Below are 18048 nucleotides of genomic sequence, written 5' to 3'. Positions count from 1 at the left end.
CCAGGCATGGTGGCATGCACCTGTAGTCCCAGCTACTTGAGAGGCTGAGGCAGGAGAATAACTTGAACTGGGGAGGCGGAGGTTGCAGTGACCTGAGATCATGCCACTGCACTCCAGCCTGGGCAACAAAGTGAGACTCCATCTCAAAAAAAAAAAAAAAAAAAAAAAAGAATGTTACTTAATTGAAGCAATTTAAGTAGCCAGATCTTCTGGACTGAAAGCATAAGCAGAATTTTGTTAGCTCACTATCTTTTCACCTACACGTTTCATAGGAATACATGTACAATTATTTTCTTTGATAGAATAGGCAAAGAAAAATTCCTATAAACAAGTGCCTATTAATTACCTGTGGTGCAAGAAGAGGTAGCCTAATATAAGCCAAAAGTTTACTTAGATCTTTCCGTCTCTGTTCCAAATCATGACGGACCCAAGTAAGAAGTGCATTCAATATTGTCTCCTCATTAGGAATGTTCATGTCATCACTAGCCAAGAGCTTTGCAATTTCGCTGGCTGGTAATAATACAAATTCCTGGTTTCTGATTACTTCCATGAAATGCTCCTAGAGGGAAGAAATAGCAGATAAACAATATTGTTCCTTCTGACCTTCACAATTTACTTAGAAGAAAGTAAAAGCTTTTTATATTAGCTACCAACACACAATTTATATTTTAGACCTTACAATGTAATACTTACTTGTTAGGAAAGAAACACAGCAGAGAAAAAAAAATTAAACTGCAATTATGTTGTTAAACATATGCAAGTAGAATTAAAGTGTTGTATCACTTATTACATTTAAAAAATGGACCTAGGACATTTAAGTGTTACTTCACTCAAGTTAGGAAATACTTTTGGCAATTCTTTTGAAGGAAGAGAGAAATAATGAATTAGACACTGAGATGTATGATACTCTAACACCAGAAGTGGGTGGATTTGCGGTTTGGATTTGTGGGTGCTGAAGAATTCGGCCAGCAGTGGAGCCAAATACCTAGAGAGCTTGGTTACTTCTCTTACTAAGAAATGGCCTCCAGAGTGGCTACATTTCCCAGAATCATTCTAGACCACAGATGTCTTCTCAGATCCTCCCTGGAATGAGTATTTGTTCTTAGAGTTATACGACAGTCAAATCGGTCTTCAAGATCGTTTTAATGATATTTATAAGATCATCTAGGATTTTGGGTCTGTTTTCGAATTTTTAATCTCTTTTAAGGGTCTGTTTTTAAATTTTTAATCTCTTCTAATATAATTTATTTACAAAGCTCTTTTGGTCTCACAGGAAAAAGGACCAAAGGTGGAAAAAAAAGTAGTGACCTATAATGCCCTGGGATCAGGACATTAGACTGAAGATGACTCAGTCCTGGCCTCACGTTAGAATCAAATCCTCTATAATTTGAAATGGGAAATAAAAATGCCCTTAGGTGTGAGATGACCTTGATAGGCTATTATGCTAAATAATCTGGAGAGAAGGAAAACATACCATCTGATTTGAAAGGTTTTAAGTCTTAATGAATGGATAGTTGACACGGTTATAAATGCAAATACTAGACACATATTGTCCCTTAATGTTTTTCTCATATTTCCTGATGTATTATCGCTGTCTCAGCATGCAGAGGTTTACTAAAGAAGCTAAAGCTGTTTAAATTAGAGCTAGAAATAAGGACTATCAATAACTATCTTCTATATTAAAATGAGAATTATATTTTCCATATAGCCTGTGGTAACCTGAGTGAGGTACTAATCTAAAATATATATTAGCTTGACATTCCTATCAGTAGAAGTTCTAAAGGGGAAAACCATTCATGAATAATTAATGAATTTCAATTGCTTCAATTTATCATGATTTGTTCAAGGATGTCTAAATGAGTCTATTTTAAATGATGGATTATCATTTTCAGAAACATATTTTAATAAAACTTCAGTGCTAGAATGGCTTCAAGCAAAAGGTTCTATTGAATTGCATACTGACATTATTTTGGTAACACATAGCAAGATCTACAAAAATGTTGAAACTCTCAACCCAGTTATCCCACTTGTAATTTAAACCTTAATAATAATTTGTAAGCAAAAAGCAAAGCTGACTACCTAACAATACTTCTCTGTATTATTATTTACAATGGTAAAAAATGGGAAATAGCCTATATGTTCAGTTATAGGGAGCTGTATATTAAATAAGCATTAAAAATTTCAAAGACAAAGATCACGTAGGTACATGGAAAGGTACTTATGATAAAATGTTATGTGAGATTGTGAAGAAACTGAAATAATAATATATATTTCCAATTCCTTAAACATATAAAGTATAATTGACAGATTTATACATTGGTATAACTATGCCATACTTTCAAATGGCATTAATTGGATTTCATCAGTAACAAAAGGACTATCACGTAAATATGCACTTGACGAATTATTTGTTGATATATCTATTTCAGAATAATGCCCATTCCATTCTAGTATAACTTACATTAAGTGAAAACTGAGTTTTTCAACAACTTATGAAATACTACTGAACTCAAGGTTGAATACAAAGTATTTTTCAAAAGTATTAATTTGGTTTTGAAGCAGCTACTTTAGCAGATCTCAATGTTTTTTATAAGTCTTCTAGATTGAGAAAGACAATTTTAAGTTTTAAAATTAAATGTTTTTATTTGTGTCATAAATTCAAAATGACATTAAATAGTTGTAATCATACAACCAGTCTTAAGACTTTTTTAGAGGTTACATGACTTGCTCCAGGTCATGTTCAGTGGCAGGCAGAATGAGAAAACAGGTTTCCAGATTCATGGATCCTGGAGAGGACTCCTCATTTTTTACCACTTGTATTCGTGCAGGATCAGTGAACATCCCCAGTCCACGCACCATTCACTGATTGAACTCACTGGCGTGGCATTATGCTTTACATTTTAAATCCATATTATAATATACACAACTATCATGTTACCAAACGCTTGCTAGCATTGTGACCTTTCCCCCTTTGGAATAGTTTTTAGGCAACTGAAATTACGGAGGGATTTATTTAAATTGAAGATTGAATTTTGCTATACATTTTCATTTGGTTCCCATAGCAACAATTCAAATCAGACAAGCTGCCTCTAAATTACTTATTGTTATTAGAATTCAATTTCATGTCTCTGTTAAAACTGAATAATGTTAAATAATGGCCTTGAGAAAAAAAATCTAACACAACTAATTGGCTATGAAAATAGCTTTAAAAACATCCAGCTAATTTAAATTTAATTTCTGTGTAAGCCTTAAAGCAGCAATCATGCCTCTACTGTAAACAACAGGAGTGACCTAAATGCATACAAATGTTTTCACCTGAATAAAACACCTTCCTAGAAAAAAGATGATTATTCAAATTCTAAACTGATTTTGAAGAAAAAAATCCAACTTTATTTATATTCATCTCATTCAAAAAAGTAGTTGAAACTGCAGGTGTATGGTTAAAATGAGAATCTATAAAGAGTGATAAAGACCGAGGGAAAAAAACATTTCAATGGACTTAATTTTTAAAATGTCAACATAATAGCATGCTAGGGCTATATATTATCATCCTGTTGTACAATCTCTTTATTTTTTCAGTTGAGACTCTGTGACTATCATAAAAAATTCCTGAGAAATGATTACACCACAGGGAGGAAAACCAGTCATTAAAGGCTGTGGTTTTGTGAGTGCTTTTGTTCCCTCCCATAATTTTCTATTGTTTTGGATAGAGGAAATCTATATAATGATGATGACAACAATGGAATGAGACTCACTGACTGGATATATGACATGCCAATCAATGTTCTGAGTGTTAAAATTCCATTAACTCATCTAATCCTCACACCAAGCTCATGAAGTAGACAGAATTGATCTTGCCAATAGTTTGTAAATACCTATTCTTACAATTTTTCCAAATCTCTATTTCTCTAATGAAAGATTCCTAAAGCACTCTCAATCTCTTCATATCCCAACTCAGTGGAACGACGGAGGAGAGGGTAGGCAAAATAACATTTCTTAAATGTTGATAAAATTGGTAATATCCATAACTGTACATATGTATGTGAATATTCACATTTTTTCTTCTCTTAGAAACTGTATTGCCCTAAACTGAAGCATTTAAAGCAACACTCTTCAGTCATTGCCCAGGTGTGAAGAACTAACTGCTACAGTGTGGCAACATTCCTCAAAAACCCATAACACCCTCCCTTGCCTGCACCCCTCTACTGTTAAGACCACAGAGGGTGGTCCTAACACTATGCTCTCAACATGCCCTTATTTTCTTACTATCCTAGGTCAATCCATTTTTTAACTTTTAAGTTCAGGGGTACATGTGAAGGTTTGTCATACAGGTACACTTGTATCATGGGGGTTTGTTGTACAGATTATTTCGTTTTATCATCCTTCAGGCTACTGAATCAGAACCTCTTCTATGATTTATTGAGCACATAATTTGCTATAATGAATAAAAACATCATTCTACATGGCTGTAAATAGTTTATACATAGTCAGATTTATCCTTAACAAAAAGCCTCCCATTTGTCCTCTACCAATATGCTGCAACCTCTGTCACCAATTTCTATCAGTGAATATGTGAACAATCCTGAAATTCATCCATGTGCAGCAAAGTAAAATGTTTGGGGAGAGTCCTATTTTAAAAAGCAGCAAATCTGAAAATCTTAATGGAACAGTCCTAGGCCACTGTTCTGCTTCCCAGTGACTGCAGTAACTTAGGGCTTGATTCAGATACCCACGAGAAGTATTACTTGGTGCTTTCCCATTATAACTCAATGAAAATATGACACACTAGGCAATGAAGCTCAATCGCAAGACACGTGGCAGAGCCATGGGAAAACAGTAACATGCAGATAAGCCTGCAACAATAAGAAATATGCATATGGAGGATCGACTTTCTCACCTTCAAAAAATACATACCATAGTATAATTGTGAGCCACTTTATGCAAATCTGTACAACCTTGGGCATCAGCAAAAGAACGAATTCCAAGACAGTTGGATGGATGAAGCTGTTTCATTAAAAACTTACAGCATGCTTCTACAACCTGTGAAAGCTGAAGAAGGCAAGCTGTAGATAACAGGCACTCAATATTATCTTCTTTTAATTCAAGGCGGCCTTAATGATAAAAAGAAATTCCATTAGCCATGGAACTACATTAACCTTATTTTATAAAATAATTGATGTTAACAGTAGTGGTTCCATATAAGAGCTCATTACATGCATTACAGACCTACATGGTTTAAGACATCCCAAAAAGAAAAGAAGGACTAAATGGGGAAAAAATTATTAGCTCCTTGAGACATCTACTAAAATAAAAACTAATGGCTTATTTTCAGAATTTTAAAATGATACGTTAGTAACTTATGTCTACTATATACCTGTATAACTCTCAATTTTTTTTTTTTTTTGAGACACGGTCTTGTTCTATTGCCCAGGCTGGAGTGCAGTGGTGTAACCAATGGCTCACTGCAGCATCGAACTCCTGGGCTCAAGCGATCATCCGTCCTGCCTTGGCTTCCCGAAGTGCTGGGATTTACAGGCATAAGCCACTGCACCTGGCCAACTCTCAAATTTTAAATGCAAAAATTTGACACTATGTAATTCATTTAATTTTTATATTAACATTTTAAAGGGCCATTCAAAAACTTAATTATGATAACCATTTTAAAGGTTTTAGTATGGAAATTTTAATTCATCACCAGGTTAAATACAAAGGGTAGTAATGACAATAGCAGAACTAACTGTTAGCTATGGCATGCTTTCTAAAAACAGAAATCTGAAATCTAATAATACAACATAAATCTAAGAGGTTTTAATTTACATTTTCAGACTCGTTACCTGTATAAGCATACTGGATCAAGGACCACAACGAATTTGGTTCTACACCTTCCATTTTTATTTCTTCTTGTCTTGCCTCTCTGACATCATTAGTAAACATGGCAGCAAAATAGTCTGAGACAGAGGAGAGCACCAATCTGTGAACACATTAGGAAAAAAAAAATCAATGACCACATTCGAGTTGATGTTCATTAATAAATGCTGCTGCTTCTTTTTTATTTGTTACTCACAGTGCATGGTACTAGGAAATGCATTTTAAGCTTGACAAATTGCTTTATGCTCTAGTTCCTTCCTTTGAATAATAAATTACCATTACCAAATTTTCTGCTGAGGTGAATGCTTTACCACTTCACTACTCAAATAATGCTATATGACATCCAGAAAACAAGCTATAAGCCCATAGCATCAAATCAACTATATAAAGGAAAAAATTTAAAAGTTATTGTTTATCATTTTTGAAAATAAACTAAGCCATTTTTAAAAAAATTTAATTATAGAAGTAGTGAATATATGGGAGACATTTGAAAATGGTTTTTGCTAGCAAGTTTTAAACTTTTATAATATTCTATTATTATCTTAGTCTGCATTTTGTTTTAAAATTATGTTGTAATAACACTATAAAACTATATTTTTTATAATTATAAAATATATTAGCTATGTCTCTAAGTTTTTAATGGTCATATATAATACATTTAAATTATAATTTTTTTTTTTTTGAGACAGTCTCATTCTGTTTCCTAGGCTGGCGTGCCATGCTATGATCTCGGCTCACTGCAACCTCTGCTTCCCAGGTTCAAGCAATTCTCCTGCCTCAGCCTCCTGAGTAGCTGGGATTACAGACGTGACTACCATGTCCAGCTAATTTTTTTATTTTTAGTAGAGATGGAGTTTCGCCATGATGGCCAGGTTGGTCTTGAACTCCTGGCCTTAAGTAATCAGCCCACCTGAGCCTCCCAAAGAGCTAGGATTACAGGAGTGAGTCACAGCACCTGGCCGTATTTTTGAAACAGGCATTTTTTCACTGGATAATGTCTTGAAGATATTTCCATGTCAACACACTTAAATAGATTTTAAATAAACATTTTCATTTTTAAAAGTAATAAAAATTATGATACAGATAATCATTGGCTCCCTCTCTAATTCCATTTTCTTACCTCCCCAGGAGTGGCACTGCTGAGCCATTAGATTTGCCAAAGTAAGGTACCAATTTAGACCCCACCAGCATTGTATAAGACTAACATTTTCCCCATAATATTATCAGATGTTAAAATTTTTGGCCATAAAGTGTTAAATGATATCTCATTGTTGTTTCAATTTTCATTTATCTGATTGCTAGTGAGGTTTTTCAAATGTTTATTGGCCATTGGTTGCTTCTTCAGAAAACTGCCCATTCATTCATTCATTCATTCATTTAATGAACAAATACTGATGTGTGTCCAGTAAATACTGGGTACTGTTCTAGATACTTGAGATACATTGGGTACAAAATAAGACAAAAGATCCCTTCTCTTATGGAGTCTTACATTTAGAGGGTAGGGAGACAATGATCAGTAGAAGTAAATTCTGTAGTACATTAAGAGGTGATAAGTGCTAAGGGGAAAAAAAGTTGGGCAAAGGCAAATGGGGAAAGGGTGGTAAGTTTAAATAGGTGGTCTCACCGGAAAGTGACACGGGCAAAGATGTGAAGGAGGTTTAGGATTTGGTCATGCAGGTATCTGGAAATAGCCTTCAGGCAGAAGAAATAGTGCAAAATTCCAAAGGTAGGAGCAGCATGCCTGGCACATGCAAGGAACTACAAGAGGTTCTGAGTGGCTGATGCTGACTGAACAAGACAGAGACCAATAGGACAATACTAGAGAGATACGGCAGGCTGGATCGTGTACGCCATTGCATGTACTTTCCCTTTCACACTCAGTGACATGAGGAGTCAATGAAAGATTTGATCAAAGAAATGACTGAATCTGAGTTCCACTTTAAAGGATCACTCAGGTAGCTACGTTAAAACAGAATGTAGGGGCAAAGAGTGGAGGCAGGGAGACCAGTTGGGAGGCTTTTGCATCAGTCATCTAAGTGAGATGTTGATGGCTCACACAAGCATGGCAGGTAAGGTAATGAATGAGTTCAGTTTTGGAAATACAGAATTTGAGGTGCCTCTATGAAATTCGGGTTGAAATAGCTTTTCTAACAAACCCACGTTCATAACCTGGACTTTCTGTCACAGTACATAGTAGTATCTCAATAAATGTATGCTAATTGAGTCACTGAAAATTTTAATACCAAGCCAATTCCTCCTAATGATTTTATTTCCACTTTGGAAGGTTTTTTTATTTTTTATTTTTTATTTCAGTAGGTTTTGGGGCAATGGGTGGTGTTTTGTTACATGAATAAGTTCTTTAGTGGTAATTTCTGAGATTTTGGTGCACCCATCCTCCAAGCAGAGTACACTGTACCCAATGTGTAGTCTTTTATCCCTTACTCCCTTCCCACCCTTTCCCCCAAGTCCCCAAAGTCCATTGTATCATTCTTTTTTGCTGGGGGTGAAGACAGAGTCTCACTCTGTCTCCACGCCCAGGCTGGAGTGCAGTGGCATGATCTTGGCTCATTGCAACCTCTGCCTCCCAGGATCAAGCAATACTCATGATTCAGCCTCCCAAGTGGCTGGGACTACAGGTTCACGCCACCACGCCTGGCTAGTTTTTGTATTTTTAGTAGAGATGGGGCTTTGCCATGTTGGCCAGGCTGGTCTGGAACTCCTGGCCTCAAGTGATCCACCCACCTCGGCCTTCCAAAGCGCTAGGATTACAGGTCCTGAGCCTACCAAGCCTGGCCTATTGTATCATTCTTTTTTTTTTTTGAGACAGGGTCTTACTCTGTCACCCAGGCTGGAGTGCAGTGGCGTGATCTCGGTTCACTGCAACCTCTGCTGCCTGGGTTCAAGCAATTCTCCTGCTTCAGCCTCCCGAGGAGCTGGGATTACAGGTACCTGCCACCACACCGGGCTAATTTTTGTATTTTTAGTAAAGATGGTGTTTCACCATCTTGGTCAGGCTGGTCTTGAACTTCTGACCTCGTGATCCACCTGCCTCAGCCTCCCAAAGTGCTGGATTACAGGTGTGAGCCATCGCGCCTGGCCTCATTGTATCATTCTTATGCCTTTGCATCCTCATAGCTTAGCTCCCACTTATGAGAGAGAACATATGATGTTTGGTTTTCCATTCTTGAGTTACTTCACTTAGAGTAAGTCTCCAGTTCCATCCAGGTTGCTGAGAATCCCATTATTTCATTCCTTTTTATAGGTGAGTAGTATTCCATGATATATGTATACACCACATTTTCTTTATCCACCTGTTGATTGATGGGCATTTGGGCTGGTTCTATAATTTTGCAATTGAAAATTGTGGTGCTATAAACTTGTGTGCAAACATCTTTTTCATATAATGACTTCTTTTCCTCTGAATTGATAGTTAGTAGTGGGATTGCTGGATCAAATGGTAGATCTACTTTTAGTTTTTTTGTTTGTTTGTTTTTTGTTTTTTTTTTTTTTTACCTTTAGTTCTTTAAGGAATATCCACACTGTTTTCTGTAGTGTTTGCACTAGTTTGCATTCCTGCCAACAGTGTAAAAGTGTCCCCTTTTCACCAATATCTATGCCAACATTGATTATTTTTCGATTTTATGATTGTGGCCATTCTTGCAAGAGTAAGGTGGTATTGCCTTGTGGTTCTGACTTGCATCTCCCTGATCATTAGTGATGTTAAACATGTTTTCTTTTTTTTTTGAGACGGAGTCTTGCTCTGTCACCCAGGCTGGAGTGCAGTGGCGCGATCTTGGCTCACTGCAAGCTCTGCCTCCTGGGTTCACACCATTCTCCTGCCTCAGCCTCCCGAGTAGCTGGGACTACAAGTGCCTGCCACCATGCCCGGCTAATTTTTTTTTGTTATTTTTAGTAGAGACGGGGTTTCACTGTGTTAGCCAGGATGGTCTCAATCTCCTGACCTCGTGATCTGCCTGCCTCAGCCTCCTAAAGTGCTGGGATTACAGGCATGAGCCACCGCGCCCGGCCAAATATGTTTTCATATGCTTGTTGGCCATTTGTAGATCTTCTTTTGAGAACTATCTATTCATGTCCTTAGCCCACTTTTTGATGGGACTGTTTTTTTTTTTCTGATTTATTTGAGTTTTTTGGTAGATTCTGGATATTAGTCCTTTGTCGGATGTACAGATTGTGAATATTTTCTCCCTCTCTGTGGGTTGTCTGTTAACTTACAGACATTCTTTCTTTTGCTGTGCAGAAGCTTTTTAGTTTAATTAAGTCCCATCTATTTATCTTTGTTTTTGTTGCATTTGCTTTTGGGTTATTGGTCATGAAGTCTTTGCCTAAGCCAATGTCTAGAAGGCTTTTTCCGATGTTATCTCTCTTTGGAAGGTTTTTAAAAAAAACCTTTGGGACACAGTGTCAATTAGTTTTGATGGGCATCCAAAAAAAAAAAAAAAAACCTTTGAGAATCATAGTGGTGATTAACAATGAACAACTGAATACAGAATTATAAAAAAATGAATTATTCTTTATTAAATGGCTCTTTTCCTTTTCTTACTTCAAGAAATAATATGTAATTTGTAGGAAAGGCTTTTTTTCCCTAGCACTGCTTTTCATACTTCTTGGAAATCAGCAAACAGAAGTTGGGATAGATATGGCTATTTTAAAAACTCTTAAGAGTTTTTGCTAGTCCACTTCACCAGCTTTTCTTCTTCTAAATATCCACAAACTTTAATTGCCACTGAGTTTACTTAAAGTATTTAATAGGTAGAATATGGCATAAAAGCTTCTTATAGTAGCTGCAATCTACACCGAACAATACCAACTTATATGAGGCTAGTATGTTTTGTTATTGTGCTTCTACAGCAGGAAAATGACCCTTTTAGGATCACCAAATGTGTAATAATTTCATATGCACCGTTTTCTTGATGGAAATTCCATGAACTACACCCCTTCCCAAAAACATAATAGTCAATTGAAGTAGGTTACCTCAATATACATATCTAAATTACCGAGGAAATATTTCACACATACAGAAATATAGAAAACAACTACCTGTGAGCTGGAATTCTGCGATCACCAGCGACTAAAATTACATCACACAACTGTTTATGTCTCAAATAGTTTTCCATTTTTTTAAATGTTTGCTCGGCATGATTAAGGGCTTGGAAAAATTCATCTGATGTACATGGCTCCATAGTATGACAGGATGATAATGTCTGACTACTATTGGAAGTCCTGAAAAGAAAAAAAAACACACATTTTGAAATATCACTATCACATTAAAAAGATCTTTCCTATTAAGTCTTTTGAAAGCCTTCAAATGTAATAGAAGAAATCAATGCTACCTATCAATATTAATGTATAATCATTCATCATTTTAGTCTCTTAAAAATCAATGATGCCTTAAGTCATATGATTCTTGTAAACACTGTAAGTGAATATAAACTGTTAATTAATTGCTACATATATTCTTTGTAGTATCTTTTTGTGAGGTCTTTTCTCTGTTAAAGCCAATGTCTCTGCTGAAAAAGAGCTAAGCTATATTCATATTGATAACCACATCTCCTAACGTTATATTTAAGGATATAAGAGATCATTCATCTTTGAAGGCAGAAAGGCAATTAAATTATTTTGGAAATACAAATTCAAGTCAAGTTCATTAAAAAATATATTGTCATAAAAACAGTGTTATAAATAATTATTTTGGTTCTCTGTCCAGTCCTCAAAAGCCCAGGTAATCTATAACTTATATTACAGGTTAAAGGAATTTGATAGCCTAATACAGCTGTCTAAAAAATTATTTGAAATTTCTAAATTATAATTTGAAGAGTAGGCATTCTGATTTCTTTCTTTTTTTTTTTTTTGTTTGAGACGGAATTTCGCTCTTGTTGCCCAGGCTGGAGTGCAATGGCGCGATCTCGTCTCACCACAACCTCCGCCTACTGAGTTCAAACAATTGTCCTGCCTCAGCCTCCTAAGTAGCTGAGATTACAGGCTTGCACCACCACGCCCAGCTACTTTTGTATTTTTAGTAGAGATGGGGTTTCTCTATGTTGGTCAGGCTGGTCTCGAACTCCTGACCTCAGGAGATCTGCCCACCTCAGCCTCCCAAAGTGCTAGGGTTACAGGTGTGAGCCACCGCACCCACCTGTATGTTCTGTTTTCATATGATTTACTGATAAAAACTGTGAAAAAGTGAAAAGGTTAGGACTAAGAATGAAGTCCTGAGTCCAGTTCTTTCCTCCTCACCCTCACACCCAGTTCTCCTCTCCAGGATCACTTAAATCAAGTAATCAAAGTCGGTTGGTTATGCAATTAACTATAAAACCAGTGACTGTGCCATAACTTAGTTCTCATTTCTCATCAGATCTTCTTTTAAGGATATGATGGTTGTGACATATGCTTTGTTGAATCAAGCCCCACTATATCTTAAGAGAATCTTGTTAATATAATAACCTTATCAAAAAAGAAAAAAGTCACCATATTTCTTACTTTTAAAGTAAAGGAACTTAAGCTAAGGAGATTAAGTGCCTTGCCAAGAGTCAGAGTTCATTCATGGCAGAGATAGGGCTATCACAGAAACTGCTATGTGTTCACCAAAATATTCTTTTTTCCGCCTGAGAATATAGCTAGACTATATTTCCCAGCCTCTCTTGCAAATAGATGTGTTCTTATGGAAATGAACTATTACATCACACAGTTCACCTTAAAGTGGCTAAGAACAGGTATGGCTTTTCCATATTTTCTTTCTCTATACACGGGTTGAAGGGAGAGGATTGAAGACTTAGAAAAAGGAAGAAGTAAAATACATAAAAGATAACTCAAGCAAGAACACTCACATTGAACTAAGATTTATCTGTTTTAGAAGTTAACAGTGCCTTAACTGATAAATATTCCTTCCTAAATCCTCCTAGTCCAATGTATTTTCAGTACCATACAAACATGGGCATCAGATAAATGCCCTTGGAGGATAATTGTCAATAATGACAACAGAAGTCAAATGTATATTATCTAGAAAGGATGTGTTGTACACTATGAATATTACTGGTGTAATGACTTGGAAAATCCAAGTCAAGTAATACTCAACTTCACATTTAAGATCATTATTATAAAAATGGGTTGAATAGTATGTAATTATATATGCTTATACAAATAAATGAGAATTAGAAACTATTTTAAAATTTAGGAGACAGGATAACATAAGCAAAAAAATAATGGTGGTTTTGATGAATAATAATTTGAAGATTTCGCAGGTACTATAATCCCAGCACTTCGGGAGGCCGAGGAGGGTAGATCATGAGGTCAGGAGATTGAGTCCATCCTGGCTAATATGGTGAAACCCCGTCTCTACTAAAAATACAAAAAAAAAAATAAAAATAAAAAAAAAATTAGCTGGGCGTGGTGGCACACGCCTGTAGTCCCAGCTACTTGGGAGGCTGAGGCAGGAGAATCGTTTGAACCAAGGAGGCAGAGGTTACGGTGAGCTGAGATCACACCACTGTACTCCAGCCTGGGCGACAGAGTGAGACTCCATCTCAAAAATAAATAAATAAATAAAAATAATAATAACTTGAAGATTTAAAATATTTTTTGATAAAGTTTTATACTGTTAAAATATTGACAAATGATTATAAGAGCATTAGTGACCTGAGGGGAAAAATTATAATATCTAATTTTTATAAGCCATAAATTCAAGAACAAGTAAATAAATCAAGTACGTCTTTCTTAAGACTCCTATATTTTGTATCACATTTCTTGTACTTCATATCAAACTACAAGTGATGATTAAACAAATAAATTAGTTGAATGTTTGAGTGATGAACTGCCATCATCTAACACAGATGCTAATCAATGTTAAGTTCTGAAAGAACAACAGAACTTTGTAATACTATCATCACTGTTATTATAGGCTACTTCTGATGTTGGCATATGCCCAGTTAATAATTTTCTTGTCAAGAACTTTCAGGGTATTTTGGTTCAGATGCTGAAACAAGTCAGGACAACCCAGGGAGCATTTCAGTCGCAGTGTTCAAGGCCTCATACCCTGAGACTGATTCAATAGGTCGGAGGCGAGATTTGAACACCATATTTTAAAAATAATTTTTTAAATATTATTGACAAATAACAATTATATATATTTATAGGGTATAATGTGATGTTTTGATACATGTATATGTAGTGAACTGCTCAAATCAGGCTAATTAACAAATTCATTAACTCTAATATTTATCAATTCTTTGTGGTGAAAAACATTTAGAGCCCTCTCTTTTAGCTATTTAAAGCCCTCTCTTTTAGCTATTAACCATAGTCACCTTCCTGTGCAATGGCACACGAGAACTTGTTCCTCCTAATTGTAACTTTGTGCACACTGACCCAAGTCTCTCTTTGGCACTCCCCATCCTCAGCCTCTGGTAAGCACCTCTGGTAAGACTTCCTTACTCTTTTTGTTCCTATTATATCTTTTGTTTAGCATATAATAGGAAAAGAGAATTAAGGAGGTATTGGTGAGCGATGAAGCACATTTTAGGAAGTTTCTAGAGCTGTGCTGTCCAATACAGTAGCCACTAGCCCCATGAGGCTATTTTAATTTAAATAAAAATTTTAAATTCAGTTCTTTAGTTGCACTAGTCGTATTTCAAGTGTTCAGTATTCTCTTGGGGCTAGTGGCTACCAAATTGGACAGTACAGATATGGAACATTTCCATCAATGCTGAAAGTTCCATTGTGCAGTGCTGGTCTAGAGTCCTATAGACCTCGGTTCAACTCTCACTCTGTCACTCACTATGTATAATTCTGGACAAGTTATTTAACTTCTCTAAGGCTTACTTTCTTTAACAGCAAAACAGAAATAATACATAGTGCTGTCTTTTAGGGGATCCCTCAAGAGAAGATTATTAAACGATCTAATGCATGCACAGCCCTAGTGCAGATTAGTACACAATCAAGGAAAGCTATTGTTAGTAGAACCCTGCTTTTCAGTGGCCAATGGGAAGGCCTGTAATTACAGTCTTTTGTCTTTATATAATGTTGTTTGGATGGTTGTCTTTTTTAAAAAATGATCCCTGGCATCATCATTTTTTATAACTAAATTTCATACTTCTTATTTAAAATGGCTTTTAGTAAACTCAGTAGACATCCTAACCCACAACACAAATATCTGGGAATAGGCCATTCCTGAAGCATTTAAAATATATTTCTCTCTGATTTCTACTTGATCTTTTACATAACAACAGAGGAAATACATCTAACATCTCTGCTTAGTTTTGCTTATATGATACCACTAAATCATATTTCAGAAAATTACATAAGATCATTCAAATCTTTTATATTAGACTTTCACTGTAATGAATACATTGCTGAATATTTCTAGTCTACAGGGAAACATTTAATTTGTAGCTTATGTCTCTCTCTGCAGTAGGCAATGAATTTTAAAGTCAGAAAAATGCCTAAACATAGAAAAGAGGCAAGTATCAAATAGAAACAAGTCACCAACTATTCACAGAGCAACTATTAATGTTGCAGCACTGCACCAGTTAGAAACTGGGGAAATGCTAAGAAATATATTATTCCCTAGTGAAGGGATTTGGAATTTGAAGAGTCAAGCTCCATATCTGGAAAAAGTGAAATAGCAACTCTAACCCTTGTAATTCCCCAGATTTTAAATGTGCTTACATGTACATGTGCTCACACAATACACACCATGGCCAATACACCTTTTTATTGTAAACTATTTAGATCCCTTTACTTTTATCGCCAGAATTTACACTAGAATTTCTTAATGGAGTAATTTTTCAAAAGAAGTTTTACAAATTAATTTATAAAAGTTATACTGTCTATGAGTAGGAAAAAAAGCTCTTCCGAAACTCTAAATAGTCTGGCTCACTCTCTAGGTAAGTGATTTACTCCTAGTTTGTGGCATTCAGAATTCATGTTTTTGCAGAAGTGTGCTTACTATATTATGAATCTTTTGTCATCTTCTACAAATATTCAAAACTACAAGTTGCTAGGTATAGGCTAGCAGTCTCTAAATTTGATACATATCCTTTTCAGTATACTTTTAAGCATGTGCCCAAATTTACTAATTTATAAAAGATATAGACACCATTGTACAATTTCTATATAATATACAGACAAAAACAGAAATTTAAAAGATAAAATATAAATAGAAGCTTTTATATATATTTTTAACCATTACTCCAATTGATCACCTTGTGCATCTTTAATTGGAGTATAATTGCTACTGGAATACAGAAAAGGGGAAGATCAGTATGGGCTAGTGTTTAAAAAGTCAACAAGCAGTAGGTGAGAATTGAAATGTCTTGACATTTATATGGGTGAGGAAGAAGAGGAGACAAGGCAATTGTGTAAAGAGAAATAATAAGAGCTAAGGAAAATGGATGTCTTCACCCTTTCCCTCCTCAAGAGAAATATATTTTGATTTGGAAATTTATAGGGCGTTTTTCCCCTGGGATAGTGCCAGAATATCTGTGGTGAAGAGAGTTAAATGCTGTTTATAAGAATCCAATTTTCTTAAATAATAACCAGTATGAAGGGGAAGGGCAAATGGACATTTTTATACAATGCTGGTGAGAATTAAAATAGAAATGTTCCTGAAATGACTTTGAAAATACAAATCAAAACCCCTCAAATGTGAAAACCCCTTGGGATTTTGTCCAAAGGAAAGAATCATCAATAGGTACAGAGATCTAGCTACAGGGTTTATCACAGGTTGTTTCTAATAGAGAAATACCGGAAACAATCTACATTCAAAAAAATAGAATACTGGTCAAATAAACAAAAAGACAATCCATACATGGAAGAATGATGGAGCCATTTGAAAAGATATAGAATATTTAATGGCCTGGAGAACTGTGTAGTGGACATTGTTTTTTCCTATCCAGCATTCCTTCTTACGGTAATAAAACCCACCTCTACTTTTTGGGAAACCACACATTCCCTGCCTTAGTCTACAGGGAATGGTCAGAGGTGTAGAAGCCAATGAGGCCTGGCCAATAAGAGTATTGTAGCTCCTGGCAATAACAGTTGGTTCACGTGGGCACAGGACCCAAACAAGACCAATCAGAGTCAATTTCATGATGTTTGATCACACTCTTGGAAAAGTGTCACTTTCTTTCCATTGAGCTTGCTAAGCTGACAAAAAGTAAACTTGGAGCTGTTAATGGCCTTTCCGCTACTGCACTGAGAGACTACCTGAGATAATGCCATCACAAAGGAAAACAGAATTTAGAAATGGAGAAAAACAGATTATTGGTGTTATTTGATCATTTGGATCCAGCTATGTCTAAAGCTAGACTCTATCCTTGGACTTTTTATTTATGTGAACCGAAAATTTCTAGTTTTTGTTTAAGTCAGTTTGATTTGGGCTTCTGTCATTTTCAACCACGAGTCCTAATTTAAAAACTTACATTAGGGCAAAAAAAAGCAGGCTACAAAACAATATGTACAATAAGATTGAGATTTTTATTTTAAAAACACATTATACACGTATAGAAAATATACCAGAAGGACACTTCCCCAAATTAACAGTTGGTATTTTGAGGTGGCTAGGTAGTTGATGATTTTTACTTTTTTCATTTTTACTTATCTCTATTTTCTGATGGCTCTATGGTTTATATATATATATATATATATATATATATATATGGTAAAAAAGTATAAAAATAGTATAAATATGTATGTGTGTGTGTGTGTGTGTGTGTGTGTGTATATATATATATATATATATATATATATATATATATATATATAAAATGTTAATAGGGAAAAATTCACTTAAAAATTAGATCCAAAGAACTCTGAAGAGTTCTATTCAGCCATCTTCACTTCCTGCACTCTGTTGATTATAACCCAAGATCCATTCTTTATATCTACCACAGTAAATGACTTTTAGCTGGAGACATGGCTACCTAGGGTAAGACTGTATTTCTGAGCCTCCTTTGTAACCAGTTGTGGCCATGTGACCAATGAATATGTGCAGAACTGATATGTGCAACTTGTGTCGCTTGCTTAATGTTTTCTCTTCCTCTCTTCGGTCCTTCCTACAGGTTGGCATGCTGAGGGACAGCTGAGTAAGCTTCAATCATGGAGAAAAGATAATATCCTACAGGAAGGAGAAACAATATAACAGGAACCTGGGTCTCTGAATGAACTTGT

General features: G+C 35.5%; 1 protein-coding gene and 1 long non-coding RNA gene across 23 annotated transcripts in view; one reads left to right on the top strand and one right to left on the bottom strand.

Moving 5' to 3' along the window:
- LOC105374418 (uncharacterized) overlaps positions 1-18005 on the top strand; it is a 32695-nt gene extending 14690 nt beyond the window's left edge. Inside the window, exon 3 of the long non-coding RNA XR_925235.4 lies at positions 17940-18005. This is a non-coding gene — a long non-coding RNA (uncharacterized LOC105374418). The remainder of the gene's footprint in view (positions 1-17939) is intronic.
- KLHL5 (kelch like family member 5) overlaps positions 1-18048 on the bottom strand; it is a 98275-nt gene that overhangs the window by 56028 nt on the left and 24199 nt on the right. For 21 of the 22 annotated variants that reach the window (XM_047415754.1, XM_047415755.1, XM_047415749.1 and 18 more), the window contains 4 exon segments: positions 10927-11109; positions 5835-5971; positions 4915-5111; positions 347-559 (listed from right to left, as the gene is read on the bottom strand). In XM_047415754.1, the coding sequence (XP_047271710.1) occupies positions 347-559; positions 4915-5111; positions 5835-5971; positions 10927-11109 (730 nt within the window). 22 annotated transcript variants of the gene reach the window in all.

The sequence above is a fragment of the Homo sapiens genome, chromosome 4 (assembly GCF_000001405.40).
Source record: "Homo sapiens chromosome 4, GRCh38.p14 Primary Assembly".
NCBI lineage: Eukaryota > Metazoa > Chordata > Mammalia > Primates > Hominidae > Homo > Homo sapiens.
The sequence above is the reverse complement of the archived record's forward strand: the minus strand, read 5'-3'. Positions and strand labels throughout refer to the sequence as shown.